The sequence below is a fragment of the Homo sapiens genome, chromosome 11, assembly GCF_000001405.40.
Source record: "Homo sapiens chromosome 11, GRCh38.p14 Primary Assembly".
NCBI lineage: Eukaryota > Metazoa > Chordata > Mammalia > Primates > Hominidae > Homo > Homo sapiens.
Genome location: NC_000011.10, coordinates 112303987 through 112321126, shown reverse-complemented (window position 1 = coordinate 112321126; position 17140 = coordinate 112303987). Strand labels below are relative to the sequence as shown.

The 17140-nt window shown below is 43.7% G+C and overlaps 1 long non-coding RNA gene across 1 annotated transcript in view, besides 1 other annotated feature; it reads right to left on the bottom strand.

Moving 5' to 3' along the window:
- Positions 1–17140, bottom strand: part of LINC02762 (long intergenic non-protein coding RNA 2762) — a 91786-nt gene that overhangs the window by 41408 nt on the left and 33238 nt on the right. The window lies entirely within an intron of this gene.
- Positions 13012–13513: an enhancer, noted in NCBI's record as "NANOG hESC enhancer chr11:112178337-112178838 (GRCh37/hg19 assembly coordinates)". NCBI's record gives its function as "activates a minimal SCP1, AML or CMV promoter by ChIP-STARR-seq in naive H9 embryonic stem cells {active_cell/tissue: H9 hESC(naive)}" and the evidence as "EXISTENCE:reporter gene assay evidence [ECO:0000049][PMID:30033119]".

Genomic DNA, 17140 nt, shown 5'->3' with positions numbered 1-17140 from the left:
TCCTTTCCTCTCCAGGCTCTGTTACTGATGTTTAGGGCTTGCTGTCACTCGGCCTTTGCTGCTGCTTCCAGTTGATCTGCCATGGGTTTGCAACCCCATTCTTTGCCCCCACCTTCATAATCTGCTCTATCCTGTTTCTCGGGACCTGGGATGCTCTTTCTGCCCTCTCTGCCCTCCCAGACCTACGTATCTTCAAAGCCCAGCTCAAGTCCTGCCTTTTCCACAAAACTTCTTCTGGCTGCCCCAGCTTGTTCATTCAACAGCACATGCTGACTGAGTATTGGCACTAGGCCAGGCCTGTGCGTCCCTGCGGCTTGGGTGGAATGTGGACAGGACATACTCCATTCAGCCCTACCGAGCACTCCTTTCCCTGAACCACAGTGGCACATTACAGTTTATTCCCACCCATGTTCATGGCTGATGTGCACATTATTCTTGCCTTTTGGATGCTTAATTCTTTAAATAAATGATGCAAGGCAATGCTGTGGAAGAAAGGACACACACTGTGAGATCAAAGAGTCCTAGGTACGAATCCTAGCTCTGCCTCTTGCTGGCTGTGTGACCCTGGCGTGTACTTGGGCTCACTACAGGAAAAGATGTGGTATCCATGCAGAACCAATGCCCTGTCACAGTGTGAGGACCACTGGCTCCTGCTGGAACAAGGTGCAGACACTGTCTGACATCTTAGCATCATTGTCCCTTAGCTTTTGTCATTGTAGATCTGAAGAATACCCCAGCCACTCCAGACTGGATGCCAGGCAATGACTTCTCTCTCTCCTCGAAATCTATGCACAATATACAAGGAATAATGCCAGAGTCTTCTTTTTTCTAATCAGTTCACAAAATGGTTGAGCCAGCTTTTCTGCAGTTTTTTCCCCTTCTCTGCAAAGTTGTTTATGAACATATTTTTTAATTGTCTGAGAAACATATAACTTGTTATTCCAAAGCTAGGTTACTATAACTCTGACTTCTGCTTGGAGGAAGAAATTAGGAGAGAGCAAAATAAACTCCGAGTGCCCTTTCAAACAAATTCCACTGTTTCTGTGCAATATTATTTGAGCATCCTCAGAACAGTGAGAATGTGGCAGAGCCCTGCAAATCTCCCCCGGCCACAAGTGTACTCCCTCAGGATCTGCCATCTACCCAAATCACTTAGACACAGTAAAGGACAAAAGGACCTCCAGCCCCGCTTGTCATTGCCTCTTTGCCCCATGTTCTCTATTTGTGGCTTGCAGGGTGCTTTGGGGTAATGGCAATAAAATATACGATGAATTGATTTGCCTTCAATCCGAGAGTCTTTGTTCTATTTCCACTCTGAGTCTGACCAAAAAATGCACTTGAGTTCATTGAAAGGTGAGTAGACAAAGCAGATCACCCCCAAAATCCACCAAAATGATAATTTTTTTTTTAATTTTTTTGAGACACAGTCTCACTCTCTCACCCAGGCCAGAGTGCAGTGGTGCAATCTCAGCTCACTGTAACCTCCACATCCTAGGTTCAAGCAATTCTCCTGTCTCAGCTTCCCAAGTAGCTAGGCGTACAAGCACACGCCACCACACCTGGCTAATTTTTGTATTTTTATTAGAGACGGGGTTTTACTATGTTGGACAGGCTGGTCTTGAACTGGAATAGTTATATATAACTATTGAAGAAGAAATACAAGAAAGTATTCTAACATGGAAAGTAAAAAGACAAAAATTATATGAGGGAAAAAATTAGAGACACAGAAGATTAATTAGAGCCTATATCTATCTCATAGAAGTCGAGACAGAGAGAAAGAACCAAGAGAAAGGAAGGGAGAAAAGAATAAAATAAATATTTCAAGTCTCTATGCCAAAAGGCCCACCAAGTACTAAGCAGGATGATTCTCAAAAGACTCATACTTAGACATAAATATCCTCATGCGGTTTCAGTACATGGAAAAGGGAAAGTTTCTAAAACCACTGCAGGAAGCAATTTACCTACAAAAGATTGATAATCTTCTCAACGACAATTCTGGATGCTAGGAGACAGTGAAGTAATTCCTACAAAATTTTGAGTTAACTTATTTTGAACCCAGAAGCCACCCAAGGAAGAGGACAAAAATAAAGATATTTTCAGACCTGCCAAGACCCAGAAATTTTACCTGAAAAAAAAAGTTGCCTCAGGATATGCTCCAGAAAAGAAAACAAACAAAAAGGAAGCTTTGGAAATAAACAAGCACCAATCAAATGAGAACAAGCAAAGGCTATTTATTCAGAGCTTGCTCTAGCAAGAGAGTCAGCCACCATCCATTGCATTTTGGCAGAGACTCAAAAACAAGCAGAAAAATGGGAAAGCTGTATAGTGGAAAAAAGGAAAGGTTTCAGGTATGCCCTGACTGGAGGCTGTTGGCATGGGGAGGTTGCAGGTGGACTAACTAGAAGCTCGGCATCCCATAGGATTGATTACAGGTGCATATACAGCTCTCTCTGGTTGGTCCCAAATTGGAAGCAGAGACAAAAATTAGGGATGCTGTCAGATATTAATCAAGTCCTGGCTGTTGGAGGCCCATTGTTTCTGAGGTTATTGTTAGGCCTCTTGGGCTGGGTGCTGGAGACAGTGGTCTGACTTACTATCCATCTGACTTATAGATAATAAGCAGGCTTCTTGGGCTGGTTACTGTAGATAATGTTTTGGTTTCCTGGGATGGTTGCTGCAGCCTGTGAGTCAGTGTTTTGTTTTTTAATATGGTTTGGCTATTATCCATTTATTTATTCAGTCCCTCAAACCTAAGAAAGAAAGATATGGGACCTAGCAAATGGTAGAACTAAGGAGTGCATCAGAAAAGTTCAGGATGACACAGCTAGAAAGTCTGTTCCAAATTGGCCACTTTCCAAATAGAATGATTAAGAAGTTGGAAATTCTTAGTAACATGGTGAAGGCATGTCAACCAGAAAACAGACACACGCAATTATAAATTCCAGAATAAGACTCGTGTTCCAGATTGAAAATGAGTTATTATATTGAAGAATTGTTAGCATACAGCAAGATTCTGTTTACCTTGATGCTTGGAACAACCTCTTTTGAAGAGCAAAGATTACATCTGGACATAGGATTACATCTCCTCCATAAAGACAAACACTCTTCTGGTTCTGCAGCAAATAATCTTTACAAAATCACACTATTGTTAAAGCCATGTATTGATTTTCAATTTTCAGCATCAACTTACATATAAACAAAGCAAGAAAGGGTCTAGTTTTGGGTACAATATGAAATGTAAATGTTCTACACTTTGACAACATAAAAGTAAAGTTAGCGCTGACCAATATTGGGGGGAAGAGAAAGGAGGCAACATGGAGTTAATTTCCTTACATTACATGATAGAGAAACAAGACATACTAAGTTAATGAATCAAAGAATGATGGTTTAGGCACCTTGTTTTAAATTATAGAGGAAATACATAGAAGAATAAAAATATAACAAAAATTGGCAGGCAGAAGTTGGGGAGATACATGCCTCATCTATCATAGAGAGGAGTCAATAGCTACTACTTCATATTGATGAATCAAGAAATGCAAATATAAGCATATTATTTGAGTTATGAACAAAACCACCACCAATGCTTTCTCCCCTCAAGAAAGTTGAGTGAAGAACAGGACTAGCAATGGAGGTGAAGAGGAAGACTTATGTTTTATTTCATACCTTTCTGTACTATTTTAATGATTTTTCCCCAGGCGCATGTACTTAATATTCTTTTCTTTCTTTTAACTTTAAAAGAAGTCAGGATTCAGAGACAGCACTCCAGCACTCCCACAAAGTGAACTCATTTTTCTCTGTGCCCCAAAACAGCTTGGCTTTATCGTTTGACTTGGCCTCACCAAGTTTGTGTTTTCAGCTGCACTTTCTCAGACCTGCATTCTTGGGGACGTAGAAGAGACATTTAATGCATTTTTATTGCATAGATGAGAAGATAGTAATTCCTTCCTTGAATAAACATATTCAGAGCACATACCATGTGCACTGGAACACTGGGCACTGGAGACACCGAAGTGAACAAAACAAAGTCCCTGCCCTCATGGAAAGTGTTTATATTCTTGTGGGCAAGACAGACACCAAGCAAGGAAAACCTGCCCTTCCTTCACCTGCTGAGAGAAAAGCTAGAAAAACCCACGTCCACATCTCTGTTACCAGCTGCAAGACCCTGAGCCAATGACTAAACCTCTCGGAGCTTTTGTGTCCCCATCTGTAAATTGCAGATGACTGCCTTTCCGGGTCATCAGAAGAGTAAACATGGTTCCAGGCTCCCATTTTGAGTTACACAGACACAAATTGGAATTTTTAATAAACTAGAAAGGAAATATAAAATCAAGTTTCAACACTCTTTGGGTAAGAGCTTATAATAATATAAATATCAAACTATTTCTGGGTTAGTTGAGAGAAGTATAGATTGTGAGTCGTTTGGTGTTGATGACTTAGGAAAATCAGCAGGATGAATCTTCATTCAAGTTAGACTCTATTTCCCAAAGTAGGTTTGGTGAAACACTTGTAGCAAGGGCTCTATAGCTAAACAAACAGTAGGAGCACAGCCTATGATAGCCCTCTCTTAGAAAGTCACAATGCACATTGGTATGATAAAGGTCCTGAGAATTCCTGCCGCAAACAGGCCTGTTCAGTCCACAATTTCCCAACTGACTTCATCATGGAACTCTTCCACCCACTGTCCATCCACAGAATGGGTGGAGTGCTGTCCCACACAAACATCTCCTACCCACCCTAATTCCACTGAATTAGTACTTAGCAGAGTACACTTTAGAAAATGCTGAGATGGAGGGCTTGTAGCCTCTCTTTAGCTCAAGCCAGAAAAAATAGTCTTCACGAGTTCCCTAGCACTAAAAAAAGCAAACCAGACTCGAGCAAGGCCCATGTGGCCAACAGCAGACCTCACTGTGAACAAACAGTTTCTCTCTCCTAAAGGCCCTTCACATTGTGTGGGTGGCATATGAGTGCCGCCAGGACGCGATGAACCTATCTGCACAGGCTGGGAACCCTCCTGAGGCCCCTCTGGGCTCCTGCCATCATGTCAGGTTCAACAGTGAATCGGAACCATCCTGCCATCTAAACGATGCCGGCAAATCCACCCCAAGAACACCTGTTCCTCAAATAGCCAACTAATCCTGCAGACACTTCTAGAACACACAGCTTAACACGTGAGAGATGTATGGCAGCAGTTTCCAAAGATGCCACTGTGCCCAGCCCCATAAGCCCTCAAACCTCCCCCCAGCACCTCTCCCCACCCACATCACACCCCCTACACACACACACAGAAAGCTTCCTCCTGGCTTCTAGCACACGCAGAATAAAAGCTGTTCTTGGGACCTGTGGGCTTTGCCAGAAGAGAGTTTTGAGGACAAACCTGACACTGCTGCTGGGATAAACTAGCAAATCAAAGGTCAATTGACTGGCATTTCCTTCTGTCCCTGTGACATCTTCATTTTGTGCAGAAAGTGCAGTTTGGATACCACTGACAGCTGCTGACCCTCCTGCAGGAGGCTGGAAGCCCATGAGCCCTCCAAATGGCAGGTTCTGCTGTTCCCTCCTCTTACACAGTGACAGGCAGGCTGTCACCTGGAGCCTTGCCTGGCTTTGTTCCCTTCCACAGAGACTCACCACAGCAAGCCTTGTGTGCCACTGCCACTCACAGCCACTCTGTTCAAACCACATCAAGTAGTTGGAAAAGTGATACAAAGCGGATGGTAGAGGAAGAAGCAATTGCCTACCAGGAGTGATCGGAGCATGAAAAGCCCTGTTTCCTCCAAAATATTCTCACCTGCCAGCTGTAAATGCCTAAAATATTAGAGTAAGAGTTTATTCCTTCGGCTGAAAGCAGGTGGCACGTGGGAGGTGCGTGGCGCTTGCCCCTGCCTCCTCCTCTATGTTCATGGCAGGCATCGCTTCACAATCTGGGAATCTTTCCTGCAGCTTTGCACCCCCTTACAGCCACTGCCCTACTAAGCTTCCCATTTATTCCCGTTAAATATTCCTTCCTGTATTTGTGGGAAATCATTTAAAATAATCCAGAAAAAAAAGTATAGGGGGAGATAAGTGAAGAATGGAAGCAAAAATGATAGACTCTTGATAAATGTTGAAGCCGGTGGGTATGTATGGGTTCATTATACTTTTCTCTCTACTTTTGTGTATATTTAAAAGTCCTATAATAAAAATCTAAATTAAAGTATATATACAGGCCAGGCATGGTGGCTCATGCCTGTAATCCCAGCACTTTAGGAGGCCCAAGCAGGAGGATCACTTGAGCCTAGAAGTTCAAGACCAGCCTGGGTAACATGGCAAAACCCCATCTCTACCAAAAAACAAAAACAAAACAAAATTTAAAAATTAGCCAGGCATGGTGGTGCATACCTGCAGTCCCAGCGACTCAGGAGGCTGAAGGGGGAGGATGGCTTGAGCCCAGGAGGCAGAAGTTACAGTAAGCCAAGATTGCAACACTGTACTCCAGCCTGGGTGACAGAGAGAAATGCTGCTAAAAACATATATACATATATATACATACACACACACACACATATAGTATATGTGTGTATATGCCAGTTTCTCTTCTTACCTGATATCACTTAGATATCAACTTGAATTGTAATGTGAATGAGTTTTTGCATCTTTTTTGAGAGCAAATTTTGATAGTAAAAGAACAGAATAGCTGAATTCTCAGTGAGGCAGGAGGAGGCCACCAGTTGGGAGGAAAACAAAGTCAAACATAACTGGGAGGCAACGGTTCCCAAAAATCTGGAAGGGTATTTACTTTACAAACTGTTAAGCCAGTGCTATTCAAGAACAATCAAACTGGATTAGGGAAGTTTGGTGGAGAAACTAAATGGCCATTTGCTCTCGGCATTGTTGGTTTCTGAAGTGTTAATTTTTGCTGTTGTCCACCTCTGCTTTTCACATCAAGCAGCTTGAGTGTTAGAGGCCAAGGTTTTGATTTGAGACATGAACTTTGAAAGTTTGTGGACCAGCCCCTGTTGTTTCAATGAACCCAGTTTTCAAGTTATTGACTCTATACTCTTCTCTGATCTCAAGGACACCAATGAATCTGTTTCTAGCCTCCAGTAGATTTAGAAGAATTCATTTCTCGCTCATAATTTACTGAATTATTTTCATTCAAGATTCTTAGATGAAGCCACCCTTCAAAATATTGTGACATGGGAGAAGTTGCCCAAGACCTGCTGTTTCCATTATGTCCCCCTCTAAACACTGGCTGTTCCCCCATTCAAAAGTCAATCAATAAAAATGTAATTCTACTATGGGAGCCTTAAAGCATTCAGCAATAGGAGTCTGGTTAAACAAACTGAAGTTATACACACAATGCAATATCTATGCAACCATCAAAGAGATGAATTTGATCTATAGGGGCTGAGATGAAAAGATCTCCAAGATATTTAGTATGGAGCAAAAGTCCAGTTGCCCTGGTGGACCTGAAGGGACAAGATCACCCCCTGCATAGAGAGGAAGTGTTGACCGCTAGCTAGTCACTAGAACTGAAGGTTCACCAAGCCTGCCCCTGAGCAGAAAGACAGATCGAAATGGTTGAGCACAGAATTTGTGGGCACTGGGTGAGAAGGAGGTTCTCTTAGAGTCTCTTGCTTCATTCAGAACAGCTTCAACTGATTCCTCTAACAGTCCAGGTGACTAAGTCAGGGTGGTCTCATTACAGTGATGACTGTTCCCTCTGAGTCTTTAGGTAAGAACCCCAGTTGTGATACTAGACCTCTCATTCCTTTTTCCTGCAATAACCCAGCTTCAATTCAGCTTCAGATAAATTTGAGTAAATTTCATCAGAACCGAATCTTCCTTTCAGATCCACTATCTCCAGTAGACCCACACTGCCAAGATGCACATTTTCATGAAAGCCCTAACAAGAAAGACTATTATTCTCAAGGTTGAACCCATGGATACAATAAAAAATGTGAAAGCTAAGATTCCTCCAATCAACAGGGATTGATTTTGCTGGCAAGCAACTGGAAGATGGATGCACAAATGTCTGAATATAAAATTCAAAAAAAGGCCTCTTTTGCTGTTGAGACATCATGGTGCTAAGAAGTCATCTTATAACACTCCAAAGAAGAATAAGTGTAAGAGAAAGAAGGTGAGGTTATTTGCTCTGAAATACAATAAGGTTAACGGAGATTGGCAAAATGGGTCGCCTTCTCCAAGGGTGTCCTTCCGATGGCGTCTTCATGGGCCACCTTAACCCACATTACTATGCAAGTGCTGTCTAATCCTTGCTGCAACAAACCAGAAGATAAGAACGTGTGTGTGTGTGTGTGTGTGTGTGTGTGTGTGAATACAAGACTAGAACTACTTTAACTATTGGATTTTATGCCAACATTTGAAATACAAAGATTTAGATTTTATTCTTGAAAAGGCAAAATTATGGTGATGGAGAACAGATTAGTGGTTTCCAGGGGTTACAGGTGGGGCAGGAGCATAAGGGAGTTTTTTTGGGAGTCATGAAACAGCTCTGTATCCTGATTGTGTTGGTGTGGTTCCACAAAGGTATATATGTGTTAAAACTTATAGAACTAGACATCAAACAAATTCAAGTTTACAGAATAATTTTAATTAAATTTTAAAAGGTCTTTCTGAGTAGTCAAAAAATAAACAGACCCATAGTTCTGTTTATATGAAACTAACAAGGAACGTACAGCAACTTCTTCCAGGCACTGCCAGCATCTAGATATCAGTATTCACACACTGAGGCCACTGTGTCACTTAGAGATGGCTACAAGGATGAGCTCCCAGATGACAGGGGACCAAGCCACTGGTGGAAGGACAGTGGGACAGTAACCAGCCACAAAAACCATTCCATCTTCTTACAAAGGGACATTCTCTGTGCACAGTAATTCACAGAAGACCCCCAAAGTGTGCAAAATAAAGACACCGGCAAAAGAGAAAAAGAAAATACTCAGTTTGTTCGACCTGACTAGTTAACCAGAAGAATTACCACCTCACACACACAAAAAAGTCATGCACAATGTAAGCATAATAGTCTGTTCTCTATAGATATCTGCCCAGAGTCTTCCAGTGGCTCACAGAAACCTAGAACCAACTATGGAGCTGGGAAGAAAATTGGCACACAGGGAGGAGAGTCTCATATGAGATTAAATTTCCGACTAGCACAGTATGATGGGAATATGGAGTGAAAATTAGGTTTACTTATGGGCAAGGACAGAATTGGAGATTTCTTACCCATCTGAGTTTGGGGACTGAGATTGGTGCCCCCTATCCCAACCAAACTCATGCACCGTCACTCTTGATAACCATGCAGTAACCCTCTCCTCCCCACTTCCTGGCTCCAGGAGTGACTGGGATGTGTTTTGTGCCCCCACACCACTTCCCCTTAGGCCACCAGGATTTCTGCTGCAGCTGCAAGAGTCAGTCCCCATGAATGGTGCAGGGGCCACCTCCAGCATCCTGCTGGTCTATTTGTTTCCCTCAGGGCTTTTTATCCGAAATTCCAGGATCTTAGCATGCAGGGCAGTCTGACGGCAACCCCAGAAGGCAACCTCAATGAATGGGTTAGAAATCAGAGAATAAATGCACCCACCTCCCCTCCAGAGTGAAGTGTCCAAGGAGACACTCCTGACAGATCCTCACCAGGACTGGGCCCAGTTGCCCGCCATGGCAGCCAACTCAAGACTGACTTTTCCTCCTTCCCCGCCTGGCTCATTCTGCTCCCTCACTCCCTTGCCTTGGATCACTCCACAAATAAACTCACTGCTCCTGAATCCTTGTTTCAGGCTTAGTTTTCAGGGAAACCCAAACTAAGACAAATGGCTAGATTATAGCTCTCTACTCCATCTCACTCACTCCGTGAGGTCCTAGAGCCAGCTCCTGGAACATAATTGCACATTTCCATCAAATGCCATTGGCTGGAAAAACTTCAATCCCTTAATGTCGGTAAATGGACTAAGACGTGGGCTGCGTCCCTATACCATTTCAAGAAGCCGCCACTTTCCAGTTCCAGGTGCCTCTTGTCCCCAGCCCAGGCTCCCCTCGGCCCCCAGGCTGTAACCAGCAGATCCTGACCATTCCTGTCTTCCGCCCTCATTTGTGTAATGAGCCCCAGGAGGCTGGCGCTCTGAGCATTTCAGTGCCCATTGGAGGGCTTGCAATTTCTTCACTAATTAGGCAGGTGAAAGGGCTGTGCTGAGAGGCCTTTGCTCCTGCATCTAACATCAGCGTTATGCCAAGTGGCATAGCTTTCCCCCTCCCTCCTCAGTCTGTTCAAGCCCATTGCCTCCCAGCCACAACTGCTCAGGTTAAGATACGTCAAGATGGAAAGTTGCCACTTGATTAAGATAAAAATAAAATAATCAAAATATATACCATGTTCCTCCTTTGAACAGATGGCCAGGAAGCTTGCCTCATAACATTGAACATCAAAAATGAATCAGAGGCTCACCTTCCTGCATAATCAAGAATTTGCTCACTGTTTGTACTACAGCCAGGCAGGGGTGGAGATTCTATCCACAAAGGTTGAGAAACGACAGAGAAACCATTGGTTCCATTGTGAGGCTCTCCCTAGTCTTTCCCTCAGCCTGTTGGGCAACACTGGCCTGCATCAGATGTCGTGTCAGTGTGTGCAAGAGAAAGAGGAAAGAGGATGCAGAGATATAAAACAAATAAAAGATATGTCAATTCTCTCCCTCAGGAGGGCCCAGAGCAACCCTTTATCAAACCTTACTCGTTGCCATTTTTTTTCCAAAGAAAGAGTATTCCAGACACTCATGTTTTTTATCTCATGGAGACATCCCAGTCTAGATACTTGTCACTTCATTCCAGTTACAATACTTGAGCACACTGTATAATGATTTATTTGTTTACTTGTCTGAGCTCCCTTGAGCTCTTTGAAAACAAGGATCATTTCTTATGTGACTTGATATCACATAGCCCAGCAGAGACCTAAATGAATGTTTGATGAATGAATGAATGAATGAAAATAATCAGAATTGTTGAAAGAGCCTCTCAATTGGTCTAGCTTCCTCCATTCTTTTTGCTCTATTCCACACGGCCACCAGTTTAAATCTGTCTAAAAGCTTCAATTAGATAGACCTATAGGTGCTGTGAAATTACCTCCAAGATATACAGTGAGGTGTAAAAGTAAGATACAAAACAATAGACATGTCTAATTGATTTTAAAGGAGAGTAGGAATATGTACATATATAATTTAGATATCCCTAAATGTTTCCAAGATATACAAGAGAAGGAAAAAAATGTTCCATTCTGGGAAAGAGTTAGGCGCTAGGGATGGAAAGGAACCTTGCTTTTTAGTACATATCCCTATGAATTTTTACCTTGCACATATATGTCTACCTTTCCATTTAAAAAGCCAATTAATAATTATTTTAAGAATTATGGTTAAAATTACTCTCATGCTCAAAAATACTCATCGACTGCCTATTTCCTTCAAGCCAATTAATCTCATAAACCCCAATTTGACTTTCTAACTTTTCCCTGACAATACCCTGCACAGACCCTATGTTGTCATCAGAGCTGCCCACAAATACACCAGTTCCGCCTCCATGCACATGGTAGGGTTGCACTTCCCTGCCCCCCTGAAGTTAGGGGTGGCCATGTATCACACCTTAATGGGCTAGATGGAGGTTGAAGCATACAGAGCCTGTGCTAGGCACCTTCCAAAGCAGTTCCCAGTGACACTCACTTCCTGGCAAGTGTACACTTGTGTGGTCCCTTCCTCTAGAGTGTAAGTGAGGCCCAGCCAATTGCTTCTGGTGACTAGAATATGGCAAAAAGGATGGAATGTCACCTCCAAGATTAGGTAATAAAAGACTGTGACTTCCATCTTGCTGACATTCTCTCTCTCTCTCTCTGGCTCTTTCCACATGGCTTCCCTAATGGAGAAGGTCACCTGCTAATAACCATGTGAATGAACTTGGAAGCTGACCTGGCCTTGTTGAGCCTTGAGATGACTATGCCTCAGCAGACACCTTGATTGCAGTCTTATCAGAGACCCTGAGCCAGACCACTCAGCTAAAGCACCTCTGGATTCCTAACCCACAGAAATGGTGACATTATAAGTACACATTGTTTTAAGCCACTAAGTTTTATGGTACTGTGTTATACAGTGGTAGACAACTAAGATAGAGCCACTGCACCATTCCCTTTCTCCTGCCAGGTGATCCTAAAAGCACAGGTTGAGATGGACCTCATCCCTGAGTGACTATGATGAGCAGGGCAGACTCACACACAAGTAGATGAACGAGATACAAACCTGTGTCTATTGGGATTGTTTGTTACTGCAGCATGACATAATCTATCCTGACTAATGCAGCATGTATGTGAAATCACCATGAAATTTGAAAGCGTAATCCAGATATAAACTATTATTATTAACATCTGAACACTGTTTCTATGTCCTGACCTTTGGACCCCATCTTTCCTCTCCAGTTATTCTCATCAACCATTCTTCAATTGGACCTCTCCCACAAATTACTCTCTAATTACCCTGGGCTGTAGCAATCTGCCCCATCTTCTGAGTACTAAGCACCCACCCCCCACTTTTTCTTTCCTATCACTTATTACAACTGTAACTAATTATATGTGGATCCATTCCATTTATTCAGTGTCTGTCATCTCTACTAGAATATAAACTCCATGAGGACTGGGATCCTGTGGGTTTTACTCATCATTATATTCCCAGCATCTGCCACAGTACCTAACACAAACACCTAAATATTTAAATGAATGAATGAATTTACACATTCTTATTCTCCTCTATACACTCATTTTGACACAACCATAAAATGTTTTGTTCGTTATTTTCATATCTCACATGTTTGTTATGGATTGCACTTCCCAAGTAGATTCTGAGTCCCTGGAGGCATGAATTGCATCCTTCAATTGGCCAGGACACTTCAAAATCATGGCAGTGCCTTAAACATCGTATAATACCTAGAGCCTTGCTCATGGCTGGAGCACAATCACTGCTAAATTCATATTATTCCTTGTGCTCAACAAATTATTGATAAATTAATATAAACAAGCATGTATCAATATAATGGTGTGAATATGATTCTCAAGGAAATAGTAGAGCAAATGAGTGAGGAGTGTGAGATGAGGGCAGATGAGAAAGGCTTCTGCAGGAAGAGAGCTGGAAATATACATTTGTAAAGAGGCAGAGAAACAACATGCATGTAGCTGGTCACTGTGTCAGGCACCAGACTAGATGAGATGCATGTACTATTTTGTTTAATTTTCAAATTAGCCCTATGTGATAAGTTCTATTATCTCCACTTTACAAATGAGGAACTGGAGCACAAAGAGGTTAAGTGACTTGCCCAAGGTCACAGAGATAACCAATGGCAGAAGCAACAACAAACTCAGATCTGCCTCTCTCCAAAAGCCCATCTCTACCATGCCAGAACCTAAGTTTAGATGTAAGCCTGGTTCTGTCATTCTTTGGCTGTATGGCCTTGGGCAATATACTTAACCTCTCTTGACTCAGTTTCCTTAATTTAGTTAGCATTAATCATTGTGCCTATCTCATGGGATGGTTGTGAGTATTAAATGAGATAAAATATGTAAATCACTTAGAACAGTGCCTAGGCCATGGTAGGTACTCAATAAATGTTACCCATTGTTATAACTATTTAAAAACAGATGTCAGAGAAAAACATAATTCCCCTACCAAAAAAAGAATTTTTATAAATGCCCTTTCATTCACATCTATTTTTGTTTGATATTTCTACACCCTAAGCTGTAGGACTGCAAGAAAAAGAGAGTTTTTGGGACAGAAAAAGCCATGTGGGAAACCCAGAAACAGATCTCATCTCACCTGTCCCTATCAGCCTCTTCTGCCCGCCACACGTTGCCCTGTGCAGCCTGGGGTCCCATAGCACCAACTCAAGGTGAGGCACTGGGGGCAGCCTCTCGTGCACTGCCCTCTGACCATCAACACACACCCATTCTCACAGATCCTCAAACAGCATTGGCCACACAATTTGGAGGGCTTAGTGCAAAATGAAAATGTAGGGGCCCCTTGTTCAAAAGGTATTCAGACTTTCAAAACAGCAATAGCAGAACATCAAACCAAGCTGAGGGCCCTTCTAAGCACAGGGCCTTGATCAACCTCACAGGTCACCTATGAAGCTGTCCCTGTCCTCAAACTTCTCCAGAGGGGGCCCAAACAGCTGGGAGAGTCAGAAACAAGTGAGACGCACCATCTCCCACCTTGGCTTCTCCATCCAGGCAAAACCTGACGTGGAAAACCCTTTCCTACAGTACCTCAGTATTTTGATTAAAAACCATGATAAACTTGTGGGTGCAACAAAAGAAGAAATTGATGTTTTAATACAACTCATTACAGCACCTTTATTAACTCCAGAAATAGAAAGAGAATATAAAATAGAAAGATTAGTTTAAAATCAACACTGCGCTGGTAAGGGCAGCCACGATTCCAGCAACATTAATTGCTGGATAGCCTCATTACTGATTAAATAAGAAATCTCAAATACCATTAGACAATTGTGATTAAATGTATGTCATTCTAATTGAATGTGTGGCTTATTGCCTTCCACTGAATCAGCAGGTCACCTTCCTGTTTTGTATATTTGAAAGGGCACAGCTATGCAGTGACAGCACAGAGCCATTATTTCTCAGAGAGCCCTGAAACCCTCGCAGTTGTATCCTAAAATATGGCTGTATGTGCAGGTGGTGAAGGAGTATGCCATACAATAGGGAACCTGAGATGATGAAAATAAATCCCACTTAATGTCACAGCTGGGCACTTTTTCCTCTGATCTCATTACCCAGCTCTGGAGTCACTTGCAGTCCCCCTGACTTTGCAGTCATTTGAGGACTAGGGGGAGTTGGGCATCTTCTTGGTGCAGAGAGGAAGCTCCAGATCCAGCTCAGCAACTGGATCTGGCTGAGATGGTGGGGAAATGAAAAATCTCTGGTCTCATCTCTCCCTCACTTCTGCTAAGGAGCCGGGACAGAAGAGTCTTCTAAGGTCCATCCTTTTTGGTTTCCCAAGGATGAAAATACAAAATTAACGTTGTCACTGCTCTGACTGGTCTTTGCTGCTCACCTATCCCTTGGGACATGGGCTATCATCTCTCCACCCTGCTCTCGGCTTTGCCTGGAATAAAAGCCAAGGTGAAGCGGGACAAGCACCTTGCTGCAGGCCCGCGGGCTGTGTAGTCCCACACAGCACATCACTCCAGAAGGGACCAGGACAACACCAATCCCAGGGCCCACCCTGGAGGAAATCATACAGTAGGTTAGGTCATTCTCAGTTGAGTTTTGTTACATGGCCGTGCACATACGTGAGCGTGCACACACGCACGTGCACACACACACACACATGCACTCAGAGTTACCCCAATCTGCCTAAGCTCCAGATCTGGTCACATCAGTGCCCTGCTTCGGGTAAATGCTGGGTTTTTTCCCACCAGCTGGGCCTTCAAGGCCTCCACCAGCTTCCCCAACCACCCTCTCCCCTTGATCCCCCAGTGACAGCCTATACCCCTGCGCAAGGACTCCCAACAGACCCAGCACAGGGACGCACACGCTGCCTGCTCTGTCTGGAATGCTCTTGTTACAGTTACTGGGAAATTACTTCATATCTTGTTTCTCCAGAGTCCCTGGAAAGGAATGTTTCCCGCTCATAAGAATTAAGAACTGTTCCTAAGGTCTAGGCTCCCCAGTCACCAGAGGGTGGTCAATACGGTTCTATATTTCAGTTCAAATGAGGAGAAAGGAGGGTGGGCTCCAGGGCAGCCTGTCGGTGAGGGCTCAGATTATACAGGCTGCTGGCTGCATGGGGCTGAGTGAAATGAAGTCACCAAGCCTTGGGAGCTACAGAGAGGTGTGGTGAGACTGGTGCCACCCCCAAAGCTGTCCAAGAGACCAGGCTGGTCTGGACATGGCTGTGAGGCAAGATGGGTTCAGGAGGTGCCACAGTGCTAGACAGATGGTGGAAGAGCAGCTTTCAAGAGCAGTCTCAGATCCCTGCAGAGTGGAACCCACAGACTGAGACCCACATCTGTTATGGGGTTCCTGGAAAACCTTGTCAGGGGGGTGCCCCAAGTAATGACTGGTTTTTAGACTTCTCACCAACCTTGACTAACAAGAACTCAGAGCTCAACTGACTTGATTAAATATCTATACTTGACTGGGCACGGTGGCTCATGCCTGTAATTCCAGCAGTTTGGGAGGCTGAGATGGGCAGATCACCTGAGGTCAGGAGTTTGAGACCAGCCTGGCCAATGTGGCAAAACCCCATCTCTACTAAAAATACAAAAAATTAACTGGGCGTGGTGGCAGGCAGCTGTAATCCCAACTACTTGGGAGGCTGAGGCAGGGAGAATTGCTTAAACCAGGAGGCGGAGGTTGCAGTGAGCCGAGATCACGCCACTGCACTCCAACCTGGGTGACAGAGCAAGACTCCATCTCAAAAAAATAAAAATAAAAAATCTATACTTAAGCATCTTGGAGCAGCCATACCAAGTACAACTTTCCCCTTCTTCCCACAGGATGGGCTCCTCACCTCTTCCAGGAAGTCCTCCACACTGCTCCCGCAGCCACTCATGTCCATGCTGCTAGTAGAACACCGACCACGTGGCTCTGGCAAGTAGGGTATGTACAAGGCTCTCCCAGGCTACATTAAGCCCATCCTTGGTCCCCAGTACCTAGCAGCCTGCCCAGCACATAACACATGCTCAGGAAATATTGAAGGCAGGAAAAACAAAGAAGGGAGGGAAGGAAACTTCAGCTGCCCAGGCCCCCACCAAGCTACCTCCTACACATCACCAGACCCAGAACTCCCTCAACCACCCCAACACCTCCACCAGGCCCTGCCCCATATGCCTGTAACACTTGGGGTACCCACTACCATGCTTGACCCACTTCAAGGCAGTAAAGCACGCCAGTCATAAGCCTGACGTCTGGAGCCAGCTCATCTGGGTTCAAATCTCAGCTCTGCCACTTATCAGCTGTATGACCTTAGGTAAATTATTTAACCTCTCTGTGCCTCATCTGCAGCAAACTATATAAAACAGCACCTGCTTCTTAGGGTGATCATGAGCGTCAAATGAGTAGAGCGATTTTGAAAGGATACATGGTACTTAGGGAATGTTATCT